Source organism: Homo sapiens, chromosome 17, assembly GCF_000001405.40.
Source record: "Homo sapiens chromosome 17, GRCh38.p14 Primary Assembly".
NCBI lineage: Eukaryota > Metazoa > Chordata > Mammalia > Primates > Hominidae > Homo > Homo sapiens.
In genome coordinates, this window is record NC_000017.11 from 21,255,260 (window position 1) to 21,271,956 (window position 16,697).

A 16,697-nucleotide genomic window follows, 5' to 3' on the forward strand; every position below is an offset into this window, starting at 1 on the left:
GCCGTTCCTTTGTCAGATATATTTACCGAGAATATCCTCTGATCCTCCCATCTCAGCCTCCCAAGTAGCTAGGACCACTGGAATGGGCCACCACACCCGGCTAATATTTTTGTATTTCTTTTAGAGATGGGGTTTCACCATGTTGCCCAGGCTCAGGCGATCCATCCGTCTCAAACTCCTGACCTCATCCACCTGCCTAGACCTCCCAAAGTGCCGGGATTATAGGTGTGAGCCACCCTCACCTCGCGCCCCCACCCCACCCCCCCAATTCAAAGATTTTCTGATTGGCAAGTGGTTGAAAGAGTTAAGCTTTTCCTAAAAAGAGTTGATGTCAGAAAGAAATACTCGAGTTAAGATAAGGAGGGGTGTGTGGAAGCCAAGGTTCTTATTATGTAGATGAAGCCTCTAAGTAGCAGGCTTCAGAAAGAATAGATGGTAAATGTCTCTTTTAGGACTTTAAAAGGTGTCAGACTCTTAGTCAAATCTCTCCTTAATCAGAAAAAGACCCAGAAAGGGAGGGGGATTCTCCACACATGCAAATTTCCCCCACAAGAGATGGCATTGCAGGGCCATTCCAAAATAAGTCGAATAATATATTTTTGGGTAAAATTCGTTAATTTCCTTCGGGGCCTGTTATCTGTCATGCGATGCTATACCAGAGTCAGGTTGGAATTTGTTATCTTAGTGCTACAAAGAGTCTGTTTTGGGTCGGGCGCGGTGACTCACGCCTGTAATCCCAGTACTTTGGGAGGCCAAGGCAGGCGGATCATGAGGTCAGGAGATCGAGACCATCCTGGCTAACATGGTGAAACCCCATCTCTACTAAAAATACAAAAAAATAATTAGCCGGGCGTGGTGGCGGGCGCCTGTAGTCCCAGCTACTCCGGAGGCTGAGGCAGGAGAATGGTGCGAACCCGGGAGGCAGAGCTTGCAGTGAGCAAAAAAAAAAAAAAAAAGGAAAAAAAGAGTCTGTTTTGTCAGTCTAATTATATATATTTTATGGGTTTTTTTTTTTTTGAGACGGAGTTTCACTCTTGTTGCCCAGGCTGGAGTGCAATGGCACGATCTTGGCTCACCGTAACCTCTGCCTCCTGGGTTCAAGCGATTCTCCTGCCTCAGCCTCCCGAGTAGCTGGGATTACAGGCATGCACCACCACGCCCGGCTAATTTTGTATTACAGCGTGCTACCATCCTGGGCTAATTTTTTTCAGTTTCATAGAGTTGGGGGCCTCTCTGTGTTGCTCTGGCTGGTATCAAACTCCTGGACTCAAGTGATCCTCCTGTGTTGGTCTCTCAAAAAGTGCTGGGTTTACAGGCATGAGCCACCATACCTGGCCTTTGCTGGATCTTATAGTAGGTGTATATTTAGTTTTGTGAGAAATTGCCAGAGCTTTTTCCAAAGCGGGTGTACCATTTTACACTCCTGCTGACAATTTTGAGAGTTTCATTCGTTGTACACTCTTTTCCAAGTTAGCCATTCTGAATGTGAAGTGGCATCACATTGTAGCTCTCACTTGCGGCGGCCTGTTGAATGGAGATGTTGAGCCTCTTTTTATATGCTCCTTGGCCATTTGGATATCCTGTTGTGAACACTTTGGCCAACTGTTGTGCCACAGTTTTTGTGGCGCAAATTTAATTTTTTTAATTTTTAAATTCATTAGAGTGATTTTTGTTGTTCAGTTACCATTCCTTTGTCAGATATATTTACTGAGACTAACCTCTGCTAGCATATTTTTATTGTTATTTCAACCAGTGTGTCTTGTATTGGGAAGTTTGTAAACAAAACAAGGCTAGAGAGTGAGTCTTTACATGCAAGGAGACAGAAAGTGATTCTGGGGTCAGGTAAGTCCTTGACCTCAGCTGAGTCATGTTGGCTGCAGTCCTGAGCAAGCAAGATGTAACCTCATGAGTGTCTCAGGTGACTTCTCCATCTCCAGAGCACTTAAGTGGTTTAGGGAGGCCAGAACGTGTTCCTGAAATCTCTTTTTTTTTTTTTTGAGACAGAGTCTTGCTCTGTCACCCAGGCTGGCGTGCAGTGGCGCAATCTCGGCTCACTGCAAGCTCCGCCTCCCGGGTTCACGCCATTCTCCTGCCTCAGCCTCCCAAGTAGCTGGGACTACAGGCGCCCGCCACCGCGCCTGGCTAATTTTTTTTGTATTTTTAGTAGAGACGGGGTTTCACCATGTTAGCCAGGATGGTCTCGATCTCCTGACCTTGTGATCCACCCGCCTTGGCCTCCCAAAGTGCTTACACGCTTGAGCCACCGCGCCTCCTGAAATTTCTTGAACCGGCCATACTCGTTCCCTCCTCTGGGCCTATGCATGTGCTGTTGTCCAAACATCACCTCCTCTGGGAAGCCCTCATCTCTGCAGTCACATTTATTTAGTGTCTGTTCCCCAGCTATCCTAGATCCAGGACAGATTCCTCTCTCATCAGTCCCTGGCAGAGCCCAGCACACACCAGGGCCAGTTAAAAGCCAGGGTCTTCCTTGTCTCTGGCTCCCTTTCTTCTCCCCTGCTTTTGAATATACTTAGCTTACTGGCATCTTTTCACCTTGCAGAAATCCCTTCTGGAACAAGGATAAACAAAAGAACCAAGTGAGCATTTACTGTCTGCTGAGTCAGTGGATGTGCTCTGCCTCCCTACCCTGGGGAAGCAGTATGTGCCGAAACCCGGCCATGTGGAGACCAGGTTGTAGACGTAGGATATCATTTATTCAGTCAGTCATCAGTTCATTTAGCAAATATTGGATGCTTACTGCATACCAGGTACTGTCATAAGGAGACCCAACAGTGAACAAAACAAAAAACTCCCTGCCCTTTAGGAGCTGATGCTCTAGTTGGGGGAGAGACAATAAGCAAAGAAGAAAATAATGATCTGGCCGTTCACATGGCCCAGTGGGAGATTCAGCAGGGGGCAGGGGCGTGCTCCTGGAGGAGGTCATGGTTTCAGATTGGGTGGCCAGGACAGACATCAGCTGATGTGGAGTCTTTTATGAAAGGCTTGAAGGAGGGGTCGGGGTGGTGGCTCACGCCTGTAATCCCAGCACTTTGGGAGGCCCAGGTGGGCAGATCACCTGAGGTTAGGAGTTTGAGACCAGCCTGACCAACATGGAGAAACCCCATCTCTACTAAAAATACAAACATTAGCTGGGTGTGGTGGCACATGCCTGTAATCCCAGCTACTCGGGAGGCTGAGGCAGGAGAATCGCTTGAACCCAGGAGGCGGAGGCTGCAGTGAGCCAAGATTGTGCCACTGCACTCCAACCTGGGTGACAGAATGAGACTCGATGTCAAAAAAAAAAAAAAGACTTAAAGGAAGTGAGGGAGTGAATCAGGTGGTATAGGGGGAAGGGCAGAAAGAGTGGCTGTGCAGAGGCCTTGGGGTGCGTTTCCAGAACACAGGGAAGCCAGCGTGGCTAGGACAGAGAGACCCTGGAGGACAGGGGATGAGACCAGAGGTCCTGCAGGCGGATTGAGGGGACTTTGGCTTGGACTCTGATCTGGGAGGGATTGGGGCATGATCTTGTCAGAGGCGTTTGAACCAGAGTGACTCCATCTTGTATAGGGGCTGGGTAAAATAAGGCTGAGACTTGCTGGGCTGCATTCTTAGTAAATTAGGCATTTTAAGTCACAGGATGAGAAAGGAGGTCAGCACAAGATACAGGTCATAAAGACCTTGCTGATAAAACAGTTTGCAGAAGACCGGGCGCGGTGGCTCATGCCTGTAATCCCAGCACCTTAGGAGGCCGAAGCAGGCGGATCACGAGGTCAGGAGATTGAGACCATCCTGGCTAACACGGTGAAACCCCGTCTCTACTAAAAATACAAAAAAAAAAAATTAGCCCGGCGTGGTGGTGGGCGCCTGTAGTCCCAGCTACTTAGGAGGCTGAGGGAGGAGAATCGCTGGAACCCGGGAGGCGGAGCTTGCAGTGAGCCAAGATCGAGCCACTGCACGCCAGCCTGGGCGACAGAGCGAGACTCCGTCTCAAAAACAAAACAAAACAGGTTGCAGTAAAGAAGCCAGCCAAAACCCACCAAAACCAAGATGGCAATGTGAGTTACCTCTGGTCGTCCTCACTGCTCGTTATGCACTCATTAGGATATATTAGCATGCTAAAAGACACTCCCCCACCAGGGCCATGAGGGTTTACAGATGCAATGGCAATGTCTGGAAGTTACCCTGTGTGGTCTAAAAAGGGGTTTAGCTCTAGGAATTGCTCACCCCTTTCCTGGAAAACTCATGGATAATCCACCCGTTGTTTAATATAAAATCAAAAAACTATCCTTAGTCCAGCAGCTCAAGCTGCTGCTCTGCCTATGGAATAGCCCTTCTTTTATTCCTTTACTTTCTTTTTTTTTTCTCGAGACAGAGTCTTGCTCTGTCGCCCAGCCTGGAATGCAGTGGCGTGATCTCGGCTCACTGCAGCCTTTGCCTCCCGGGTTCAAGCGATTCTCCTGCTTCAGCCTCCTCTGAGTGGCTGGGATTACAGGCACGTGCCACCACGCCCAGCTAATTTTTGTATTTTTTTATGTCTCTTTTCAGTATATTGCATGAAGGAGTTACACTAGTCCAAGTTAAAAACCGGACCCCAAATGGTTACATTGTACAAGCTATGAGGTTTTTAAACTTGTGACAAGGGACGGAAGGGAAATTTTACTCATTGCAGGCAAATCCTCACTTAAGCTTCAGTGAGCCACAAGCACTTAAAACCCATGAACCTTCAGCTGATCGTCCTTAGCCAGTCCAGTCTCTATGAGGAACTGGCATATGTTCTTGTGTTGGTCACCCTATAGCTGAAGTACTTCTCCATATTCCGGATGCTCAATTACAGCACCATTGCAGGCAAACTTCTTTTTTATTTTTTATTTTTGAGGCAGAATCTAGCTCTGTCGTCCAGGCTGGAGTGCAGTGGCGCGATCTCAGCTTACTGCAACCTCTGCTTCCCGGGTTCAAGCGATTCCCCTGCCTCAGCCTCCCGAGTGGCTGGGATTACAGGTATCCATCACTACGCCCAGCTAATTTTTTGTGTTTTTAGTAGAGACGGGGTTTCACCATATTTGCCAGGCTGGTCTCGAACTTCTGACCTCGTGATCTGCCCGCCTCAGCCTCCCAAAGTGCTGGGATTACAGGCGTGGGCCACCGCGCCTGGCCTTTCTGTTGAATTCTTATATGGATATAATCCTCAGTGCTAGCAAGAAACAGGTCATCAGCCTTACTTGCATCAGCAAAGGGGTCTGAAAAGAAAGGTTAAACTGCGCCGGGCGCAGTGGCTCACGCCTGTAATCCCAGCACTTTGGGAGGCCGAGGCGGGCGGATTGCCAGACCTCAGGAGTTTGCAAAGCTCAGATGCCACTGCCACTGCCATCCCCCCTAGATGTTTTGTGCGTGCAGAAAATAACACTGAAATCATCAGGGCTTGGGCCAGGCCGAATGTGTCCTTTGCTGGCTCTCCTGGAGCAGGTCAGTCCGGGACAGCTGGCTTCCCCAGGCTCAGGGAATGCCTGGGCCTTCCGCCCTGCCTGGGAAGCTGATCACGTCTAATATTTGTATTCTTAGTAGAGATGGGGGTTTCACCATGTTGGCCAGGCTGGTCTCGAATTCTTGACCTTGTGATCCGCCCGCCTTGGCCTCCCAAAGTGCTGGGATTACAGGTGTGAGCCACTGCGCCCGGCCTATTCCTTTACTTTCTTAATAAACTTGCTTTCACTTTACTCTGTGGACTTGCCCTGAATTCATTCTTGGGTGAGATCCAAGAACCCTCTCTTTGGGACCCATTTCCAGTAACAATCTTAGTGTTTTTGGTTTTTTTTTTTTCCCTAATTTTAGAAAACTTCAAAGATATATGTAAATATATACAATAGGAAAATGAAGCCCATGTACCTGTATCGTGGCTGAGGAGTTTGGTTTTCTTTTCATTAAAAAAAATTAAATGTACTGTTTATGGCTGGGCATGGTGACTCATGCCTATAATCTCAGCACTTTGGGAGGCCGAAGTGGGCCAATCACTTGAGGCCAGGAATTCAAGACCAGCCTGGCCAACATGGCAAAACCCTGTCTCTACTAAAATTACAAAAATTAGCTGGGTGTGGTGGCATGCACCTGTGGTCCCAGCTAATTGGGAGGCTGAGGTAGGAGAATTGCCTGAACCCAGGAGGTGGAGGCTGCAGTGACCTGAGATGGCGCCACTGCACTCCAGCCTGGGTGACAGAGTGAGACTCTGTCTCAAAAAGAAAGAAAGAGAAAAATTTAATGTACTGTTTATATGCAGTAAAAATTCTTTCTTTCAGCATGCTCTGCAAGTTTTGACAAACATATCTAGTCATTTAACCATGACCACTACCAAGTTATAAAACAGTTTATCATCCCAGCACTTTGGGAGCCCGAAGTAGGAAGATTGCTTGAGCCCAGGAGTTTGAGACCAGCCTGGGCAACCTAGTGAGACTCCATCTCTATGAAAATAAAAAATTTAGCCAGGCGTAATGGCATGTGCCTGTAGCCCCAGCAACTTGGGAGGCTGAAGTGGGAGGATTGCTTGAGCTCAGGAGGTCGAGGCTACAGTGAGCAGTGATTGCACCACTTAACTGCAGCCTAGGTGACAGAGTGAGACCCTGCCTTGAAAAAAGAATGACGAGTTGATGGGCGCAGCAAACCAACATGGCATATGTATACCTATGTAACAAACCTGCATGTTGTGCACGTGTACCCTAGAAGTTAAAGTATAATAAAACATAAAAAAAAAAAAAAAGAATGACCACCTGGGTGCTGCACGGATCAGCAGTCTGTCCCTTCACAGCTGCATGGGATTCCAGGGAATGATGTACTGGCCTTGGTTTTGAAGACCGCTCTGCCCTCCATGTGGGGGATGAACCCTGGAGGGGAAGGGGGAGAGCAGGGGACCCCTATCCTCTCCCTACACGCAGTGACAGCAGTCGCGTAGCCTGTGGCCCTGAGTTCCTCCCTCTTACAGCAGTGCTGTGCAGAAGAAGGTGCTATGCTCAGTTCAGCCTCACTTTACAGAGAGGGGAGGTAACTTCCTTGGGTTACACGCTGGCAAGTGGCAAAGTCAGATTCAAACCCAGCCCCTCCGTGTTCTGTCTCCAGGAGTGCGCTGTCTCTACAAGGCTCCCCAGGGGCTCTATGGACATTTGTAGATTTTCTGATCCCCACTGTGGGGCCAGGGAACCGATTACAGGGAGGCAGCCAAGCTTGACCTCAGAATCCTAACAGCCAACTGCAGCCTGAGGACCCCCGCATGTGCAGGCAGCTCCTGGGCTTGGCCCAGATCCTACTGTCTCCTTGCAGGAGAGGGAGGAGCACCAACAAAAGTTTAGTGACAGATCGGTCTAGGATGAGACGCTGAGTCTGTCTTCAGAGCCTCTAGCTCTACTCCCCATCTGTGAACCAGAGGTAAGAAGTGTGAATTACTTCAACAAGTATCAAAGCGTCCTGGTGTTGGAGGCTGACACCTGAGCAGGCCTGGTTCCATCCTGGCCCTGCTGTGTGGCCTGAGGCCAGTCACAGTCCTTCTCTGGGCCTCATCTTCCCTTCACAGGGCTCCTGCAGCCCTGATTCTCTGTGCTGCTGAGCTGCCCGCCCCGGGAATCTTGGCTCTGCTGCTGGGGCAGAATAGTGTGAGCAAGGCATGTGGGACGCGTGCTGGTCACCAGCCCAAGCTTCTTCCTAGTGAGTCTACTCCCTTCCCTTGCCCAGACCCCAGTGCCCTGACACCTGCAGACAGAGCATTTGCTTTTTCTTTCCATACCTTTATTGTTTTTCTTTTCTTTCTTTCTTTTTTTTTTTTTTTGAGACAGAGTCTTGCTCTTGTCGCCCAGGTTGGAGTACAGTGGCACTGTCTCGGCTCACTGCAACCTCCGCCTCCCAGGTTCAAGCGATTCTCCTGCCTCAGCCTCCTGAGTAGCTGTGATCACAGGCACGTGCCACCACACCTGGCTAATGTTTGTATTTTTAGTAGAGATGGAGTTTCACCATGTTGGCCAGGATGGTTTCAAACTCCTGACCTCAAGTGATCCACCTGCCTCGGCCTCCCAAAGTGCTGGGATTACAGGCATGAGCCACCATGCCTGGCCTGCCTTTACTGTTTTTCTTTTCTGATTAGAAGCATGAGGAGTGCTCGTTTAAAATTTTCAGAACACACAGAAAAATATCAAGAAGATAAAAGTCATAAATCCACCACTGTTCAGTTTGGCCACATGCCCTCAGACATCTTCCTGATCCTGTAACCATCCATTCATGTACTCATTTACTCATTCATTCACTAATTGACTCATGCACTTGCTCACTCACACGGTGCTTATTGAGCAATTGAGGTATGTTCTGGATTCTGGGAACACAGCGTGAACAGACAGACAAAGCCCTGCACACATGGAGCTCTTTATGTGCAAATAGAACGTTTTCCAACAAGGCTGGGTGCGGTGGCTCATGCCTGAAATCCCAGCACTTTGGGAGGCCGAGGTAGGTGGATTGCTTGAGTCCAGGAGTTCAAGACTAGCCTGGGCATCATGGTGAAATCTCATCTCTACCAAAAATACAAAAACTAGCCAAGCATGGTGGTGTGCACCAGCTTCTTGGGAGGCTGAGGTGGGAAGATCGCTTTAGCCCGGGAGGCAGGGGTTGCAGTGAGCCCAGATCGCACCACTGTACTCCAGCCTGGGGGAACAGAGGGAGCCCCTATCTCAAAAAAAAAAAAAAAGTTTTCCAACAAAATTGTAATCAAATCAGATTATCTGTTTTATAGCTTGTTTTTTATTTTCAATTTAACAATATGCTGTGATCATTTTCCTTTGTTAATATATAGGAAACCACAGAATTATTCTATAAGAATATTTTTAGGCTGAGTGGGCTGGCTCACACCTGTAATCCCAGCACTTCCTGCTGTGGCAGGAGGATCGCTTGAGGCCAGGAGTTTGAGACCAGCCTGGGAAACATCTCTACAAAAAAAAAAAAAAAAAAAAAAAAAAAAAGAATATTTTATTTATTTATTTATTTATTTATTTATTTATTATTTTTTTATTTTGAGATGGAGTTTCGCTCTTGTTGCCCAGGCTGGAGTGCAATGGTGCAATCTCAGCTCACCGCAACCTCCGCCTCCCAGGTTCAAGCAATTCTCCTACCTCAGCCTCCTGAATAGATGGGATTACAGGCATGCACCAGCATGACGAGCTAATTTTGTATTTTTAGTAGAGATGGGGTTTCTCCATGTTGAGGCTGGTCTCGAACTCCTGACCTCAGGTGATCTGCCCACCTTGGCCTCCCAAAGTGCTGGGATTACAGGCGTGAGCCACCACGCCCGGCCCCAAAAAGAATATTTTAAAAGATAATTTTGATTAGGTAATATATTCATGTTTCAAAAACTAAAATGAAGTGTATGTGGGTACCAAGAAAAAATCTACCCACTGCCTTTGTCTGCCATCTGCCTTCTGCCCAGAGCTCCTCCACTTCACACAGGGAAGCATTTTTACTTGTTTCTCATGAATTCTTCCAGTGTTTTCCACACATAAATACAAGTGAATACAAATATATATTCTTCCCCCCCACTTTTAACCCACAAGTTGGCATATCACTTAGCAGTCTCTCCTGGAGACCCGTCTGTCTCTCCCTATAGCACAGCGGTCCACGGAGTGGAGGGACATGGCACTCACAGCTGAAAGATCCTAACCATTCTCCTGGATACAGCAGTCCTTTACCGATGGCTATCTGGGTAATTTCAAAATACAGCATCTTTGTCTCAGTTGTTGATTCTTTCATCTCAGGGATATGTTCATGATCTATCCAGTTCCCTCTTGTTGGGATTTTGATAATTTCCAGTGTTTCACTGCATTGCGATGGATGAGTGTGTTAGTACTTGTTTCCGCCCACCCACCTGATTGTCTTCTCAGGAAAATGAGACCCGAGGGCTCCTCCTAGGCCAGGTGCCATGCTAAGTGCTTCCTGGGAATTCTTTCATCCAGTCCTCACACCCACCCTCGGAAGCAGGAGTTGCACTCATGAAGGGACTGGGCTCTGAGGAGCCTGAGAACTTTCCAAAAGTCTCCTTGGTGGTAGCTCTTGGAATTTGGATCTGAACCCCAGTTGGGGTAAGTCTGGAGTCTGATCTCCTGAGCAGAGAACAAGTGGCTACAAAGTCAATGCATTGTGAAGCCACTGGCACTGATGGGCAGTTGCCTCCCCAGGATAAGGTGCCTCCCCCACCCTGAAGAGACCTGAGGCTCTTAACGATTCTCTGGAATTGGCTGAGCACGGTGGCTCATGCCTGTAATCCCAGCACTTTGGAGGCCGAGGTGGGCGGATCACCTGAGGTCAGGAGTTCGAGACCAGCCTGGCCAACATGGTGAAACCGCGTCTCTACTAAAAAATACAAAATTAGCCGGGCGTGGTGGTGGGCACCTGTAATTCCAGCTGCTAGGGAGGCTGAGGCAGGAGAATCGCTTGAACCCAGGAGGTGGAGGATGCAGTGAGCCGAGATGCGCCATTGCACTCCAGCCTGGGCCAAAAGAACAGAACTCCATCTCAAAAAAAAAAAAAAAAAAGATTATGTGGAATTAATTGAGGGTAAAAAATTCCATGGTGCAGGACCCAGGCAGGTTACAGGATTGCAAGAAATGGCTGGGTGTCAGACAGAGGGAGCAGTGTGGAGTGTGGCAAAGTGGGACCACCTGGTCTGTCCCAGGGGCAGCTTCTGCTCCTTCCAGCAAGTTGTTCCACAAGGGAGCCCTGGGCTAAGTCTTCTGCTTTTCAACAGGAGCTGGAAATCGAATAAAAATGTGAGACTTCTTGATGTTTAAATGGCAGTTAATTTTGGCTGAGTGTGATGGCTCATGCCTATAATCCCAGCACTTTGGGGGGGCAAGGTGGGCGGATAACTTGAGCTCAGGAGTTTGAGACCAGCCTGGGCAACATAGTGAGACCCCGCCTCTACAAAAAATACAAAAATTAGCTGGGATGGGAAGCCAAGGTAAGAAGATCATTTGAGTTTGGGTGGTTGAGGATGCAGTGAGCAGATTAAGTCTTTGCACTCCAGCCTGGGCAACAGAGTGAGACGCTGTTTCAAAAATAAATAGGCTGGGCGAGGTGGCTCACACCTGTAATCCCAGCACTTTGGGAACCCGAGGCAGAGGGGATCACTTGAGGCCAGGAGTTTGAGACCAACCTGGCCAAACCATGGCAAAACCCCGTCTCTTCTAAAAGTACAAAAAATAGCTGGGCATGATGGCATATGCCTGTAGTCCCAGCTATTCAGGGGGCTGAGGCACAAGAATCACTTAAACCCGGGAGGCGTAGGTTGCAGTAAGCAGAGATGGCACCACTCCAATCCAGCCTGGGTGACAGAGCAAGACTCTGTCTTAAAAAATAAATAAATAAATAATAAGTAAACAAACAAATAAATAAATGCCAACTGATTTTAAAACACAGGTAGGTGTGTCTGCTGCTAACTTAGATGGTCGGGAGAGTGAGAGAGAGAGAGAGGCAGAGAGACAGGGAGGGAGAGGGGTACTCTGGCAAATGGGAAACCCTTGCTAGGTCCAGGCAAAGGCCATGTACAGATTCACCCACGATTCTGGCTGTTTGTTTGGAGGTGTTAATTTTTTCAAAATAAGAAAATTGCTCAGGCTGGGTGCGGTGGCTTATGCCTGTAATCCCAGCACTTTGGGAGGCTGAGGCGGGTGGATCACAAGGTCAGGAGTTCGAGACCGGCTTGGCCAATATGGTGAAACTTCATCTCTACTAAAAATGCAAAAATTAGTTGGGCATGGTGGCAGGCGCCTGTAGTCCCTGCTACTTGGGAGGCTGAGGCAGGAGAATCACTTGAACCCGGGAGGGGAAGGTTGCAGTGAGCCAAGATCGCTCCACTGCGCTCCAGTCTGGGCGACAGAGCAAGACTCTCTCTGAAGGGAAAAAAAAAAAAAAAAGAGCAAATTGCTCACTCTGAAAGAGATAAAACTAAATGTAACATCTGAATCTTGGCTAGCTCTTAGTTTGAAACAAAAAGTCCAGCCATAAAAGACATTTTGGGGACAACTGGGTAACTTGAATGTGGACTGTGTGTTAGATATCTGTGGAATTACAGTGTTTTTTGCAGTGAGGTAAGCGTATCATGGTCTTGTAGAACGGCCGCCTTCTCAGGGAGTGCATGCTGATGGACTAGGGGCAAAAGGTCACAAAGTCAAAAACTTACTTTCTTTTTTTTGTTTAAATGATTTTTAGATAAAGATCGAGGAGTCAGAGGAGGCCTTGCTATGTTGCCCAGGCTGGTTTCGAACTTCTGGCCTCAAGTGATCCTCCTGCCTTGGCCTCCTAAAGCATTGGGATTACATACGTGAACCACTGCTTCTGGCCAGTAACTTACTTTCAAATGATTCAGGGCCAGGTGTGGTACCTCACACCTGTAATCCCAGCACTTTGGGAGGCTGAGGCGGGCCGATCACGAGGTCAGGAGATTGAGACCATCCTGGCTAACACAGTGAAATCCCGTCTCTACTAAAAATACAAAAAATTAGCTGGGCATGGTGGCGGACGCCTGTAGTCCCAGCTACTGGGGAGACTGAGGCAGGAGAATAGCGTGAACTTGGGAGGCGGCGCTTGCAGTGAGCCGAGATCATGCCACTGCACTCCAGCCTGGGCGACAGAGCGAGACCCCATCTCAAAAAAAAAAAGAAAAAAAAAGATTCCGAAAACAGCACATAGCTATGTGTAGAGAGGGGAGTGTGCACGTGGGCAGAGCTGTCAGCACCGGGCAGGTCGCACCAGATGGCAGCTGTGGATTCTGCTTTTGACTTCCTGTGTGCTTAAATTTTACATAATAAAAATTCAGAGGAAAGGGGGGAAAAAGTGACCACAGGGGTGAAACAAAACATATGGGTGCTAGAAATGGCCCCTGGTTTGTGACATGTCATTCAGCCCAATCCTCCCTCAATGCAAGATGGGAAAACTGAGGCCCAGAGGTGGAGGGAGGGTCTCTTCTCAGAGCGGACTTCCCTCCCTAATTCTGTTTTCCTCACACCGCATGCAAGCAGCTGTTTGGGCAGGAGAGGCTGAGGTGACACTTCCTGTCCCTTTGTCTTTTCTCTTCCTGCCAGAGCTCTGTGAGGGTGGTTCTGTTACAGCCCATTTCACAGAGGTGGAAGCTGAGGGCCTGAGAGCAGAAGTTACTTGCCTGAGTCACACATTGAGTTGGGGTGGGAAACTGGTCCCTAGGCCCCCACCTTCCTCCGATCCCTAGATCAAGGGCAATGGCTTTGGATCAGCAGGCCCGGCCTGGCCCCCAGTTTTGCTGTGTGACCTTGGGTGATTCATCTGACCTCTCTGTGCTGCTCCAGGGGTGAGGAGTTAATGAGGTGACCCATGAGAAGGCTCCTGCCCTGCTGCCCTGCACACGATCAATTCTGTCACATATTCCTCTGTCCCTGCAGTCCCTGGAATCTCAGAATCTCCAGCAATTGCCATGGCCCCCGCCCTGCCTTGCTGCTATTTCCCTCCAGCCTCTGTATAGGTTTCTGCGTGTCTCTTCCTGTCAGGGTTTGCCACTAGCCAGGCTTTGGCCCTGAGGGATGGCATAAACTAGTGGAATTTCAGGCAGCAAGAGGCAGAGCGACTGGGGAGATATATGGGACATTCTCACCCCTTGTCTGGAATGTCCTTTTTCCTACACTCCAATTGGCAAACTCCTATTCATCTTCTGAAGCCCAGGTTAAATATCGTCACTCTGAGGAGCTTTCCCCCATCCTCAGCCCAGGTTGGGTCAGTCACCACCCAGTGGCTCCCGCAGTCCCTCTGAGTGCCACCATTATGTGGGTGTGGGTTTTCTTGCTCCATCGCCTGAGAGGGCCTGGGTTTTGCTCATCCCCCTACCCATTTTAAAGAATGGGAAACTGAGACCAGCCTGTAATCATACAGCAAATGCAGGGCAGAGTCCTGAGGGCGAGAGTGCAGGCAAATCCCGGTCTCACCACAGACTCTCTCTCTCCTTGACCTTGGGCCCATCATGTCACCCCCTGAGCCTTAGTTTTCTTGTGTGTAACATGGCAGTAATGGCCCCAAATGCTCACCGTTTTTTCCCTTCATTGAAAGGACTTCTCTGCTCCTCCCTCAGCTTTAATGAAGGATAATTACATACAATAAAATGCAGCCATTTAAGCGCATGGTTTGATGATGTTTGACACATGTATACGGTTGTGTAACCACCACTACAATCATCATACACAACATTTCCTTCACTCCCAAGTTTCCTTCGGGCCCCTTTGCAGTTGATCCCCTCCCCACCCCAGTCCCTTGCCACTACTGATGGCTCTGTGCCACTGTGGTTTTGCTTTTTCCAGAACGTCCTGTGAATGGAATCGTATTGTAGGTAGCCTTTTGAATCTGGCTTTTTTTTTCCGGCGGAATGCATCTGAGCTCCATCTGCACTGTGGCATGTTTTGGGAGTGCATTCCTTTCCTGTCACCGAGTAGTATTGCATTGATGGATATATACCATGTTTTGTTTATCCCTTTCCAAGTTCATAGACAGCTGAGTTCTTGCTAGGTTTTATCTATTATGGAAAAAGCTGTTACTAACCTTTGTGTTCAGGTTTGTGTGTGTGTGTAAACACAGTTATTTCTCTTGGAAGTGAAATAGCTGAGTCCTAAGTAGGTGTATTTAACTTTATAAGAAACTGCCAAACTGTTTTCCAAAGTGATCCTACCATTTCACATTCCCACAGCAATGTATGAGAGTTCCAGTTTCTGCACATCCTCACCAATACTTGCAATTATCTTTTTTTTTTTGAGACAGAGTCTCACTCTGTCACCCAGGCTGGAGTGCAATGGCGCGATCTCGGCTCACTGCAACCTCTGCCTCCTGGGTTCAAGCGATTCTCCTGCCTCAGCCTGCTGAGTAGCTGGGATTACAGGTGCGCACCCCCACGCCCGGCTAATTTTTGCGTTTTTAGTAGAGACGGGGTTTCACCATGTTGGTCAGGCTGGTCTCGAACTCCTGATCTCGTGATCCACCCAAAGTGCTGGGATTACAGGCGTGAGCCACCGTGCCCGGCCTGGAATTATCTTTTTTTAAATTTTTTTAAATTCTTTGTTTATTTATTTTTGAGAGAGGGTCTTGCTCTGTCACTCAGGCTGGAGGGTAGTGGCATGATTATGGCTCACTGCAGCCTTGAAATCCCAGGCTCAAGTGATCCTCCTGCCTCAGCCTCCCGAACAGCTGGGACCACATGTTGGTGCCATCACACCCAGCTAATTTTTTTTTTTTTGAGACGAAATCTTGCTCTGTCGCCCAGGCTGGAGTACAACGGCGCGATCTTGGCTCACTGCAACCTCCGCCTCCCGGGTTCAAGCGATTCTTCTGCCTCAGCCTCCGAGTAGCTGGGATTACAGGCGCCTGCCGCCATGCCCTGCTAATTTTTGTATTTTTAGTAGAGACGGGGTTTCACTATGTTGGCCAGGCTAGTCTCAAACTCCTGACCTCAGGTGATCCGCCCGCCTCGGCCTCCCAAAGTGCTGGGATTACAGGCATTAGCCACCGCGCCCGGCCTTTACACTCAGCGAATTTTTTATTTTTTGTAGAGATTGGGTCTTGCTATGTTGCCCAGGCTGTGTCAGTCATTTTAATTTTCACCTTTCTAATAGGTGTGTAGTGGTTTCATTGTGGTTTTAACTGCATCCCTCTGATGACTCCCAGGGTTGAGTCACTTTCCAAATAAGCACATGGAAAGAGACTCCCCATCCATATGTCTTCCTTGGGGAGGTGTCTGTTCAGATCTTTAGCACGTTTTTCAGTCATTTTAATTTTCACCTTTGTAATAGGTGTGTAGTTATTTCATTTTGGTTTTAACTGCACTCTGCTGATGACTCCCAGGTTGAGTCTCTTTCCATGTGCTTATTTGCCATCCACATGTCTTTCCTGGGGAGGTGTCTGTTCAGATCTTCAGCACGTTTATGTTTATCTTTTTTCTTTTTCTTTTTCTTTTCTTTTTTTTTTTTTGAGATGGAGTTTCACTCTGTCACCCAGGCTGGAGTGCAGTGGCGTGATCTCCACTCACTGCAACCTCCGCCTCCTGGGTTCAAGCGATTCTCCTGCCTCAGCCTCCTGAGTAGCTGAGACTACAGGTGTGCGCCACCATGCCTGGCTAATTTTTGTATTTTTAGTAGAGACAGGGTTTCACCATGTTGGCCAGGCTGGTCTTGAACTCCTGACCTCATGATCCACCTGCCTCAGCCTCCCAAAGTGCTGGGAGTGAGCCACTGCGCCCGGCCATAGCACATTTTTCATTGTGTTCTTCTCTTACTATTGAGTTGTAGGAGTTGTTTGCATGCTCTGGGTGCAAGCCTCTGAGAAGTATTCTGCCAAGATCTTCTCTCAGGGTTGTTTGGAGCATTAAATGACATCATCAACACCCAATAGTGGGTGCTCTTATCATTATTATGATTACTACTATTATTTATCACTTCATTTTGTCATTGTGGATACGATGATGTGTCTCCCAGCCCAGAACTGCCAGGAGCACCTGCTCACGGAGCTTCTTTGGTGCCCCATACCTACCAGTTGGGTCCCCTCCAGCAGGACCCCCCGCAGGAGCCCCAGCTTCCACCAGAGCACTGGGATGCCCTTTGTGTGTTGTTTGGTGTTTATAATACTCATTTATCAAAACCAGCCAGCTGGCTTAGGCTGCTTGGCCGCACTGCTCA

At 48.5% G+C, this 16,697-nt stretch overlaps 1 pseudogene, besides 2 other annotated features; it reads right to left on the reverse strand.

Moving 5' to 3' along the window:
* EIF1P5 (eukaryotic translation initiation factor 1 pseudogene 5) lies at nt 4,709-5,242 on the reverse strand (annotated as a pseudogene).
* Nucleotides 7,508-8,077: an enhancer, noted in NCBI's record as "H3K4me1 hESC enhancer chr17:21166079-21166648 (GRCh37/hg19 assembly coordinates)". NCBI's record gives its function as "activates a minimal SCP1, AML or CMV promoter by ChIP-STARR-seq in naive H9 embryonic stem cells {active_cell/tissue: H9 hESC(naive)}" and the evidence as "EXISTENCE:reporter gene assay evidence [ECO:0000049][PMID:30033119]".
* Nucleotides 13,280-13,329: an enhancer, noted in NCBI's record as "active region_11882". NCBI's record gives its function as "activates an Ori minimal core promoter by ATAC-STARR-seq in GM12878 lymphoblastoid cells {active_cell/tissue: GM12878}" and the evidence as "EXISTENCE:reporter gene assay evidence [ECO:0000049][PMID:35858748]".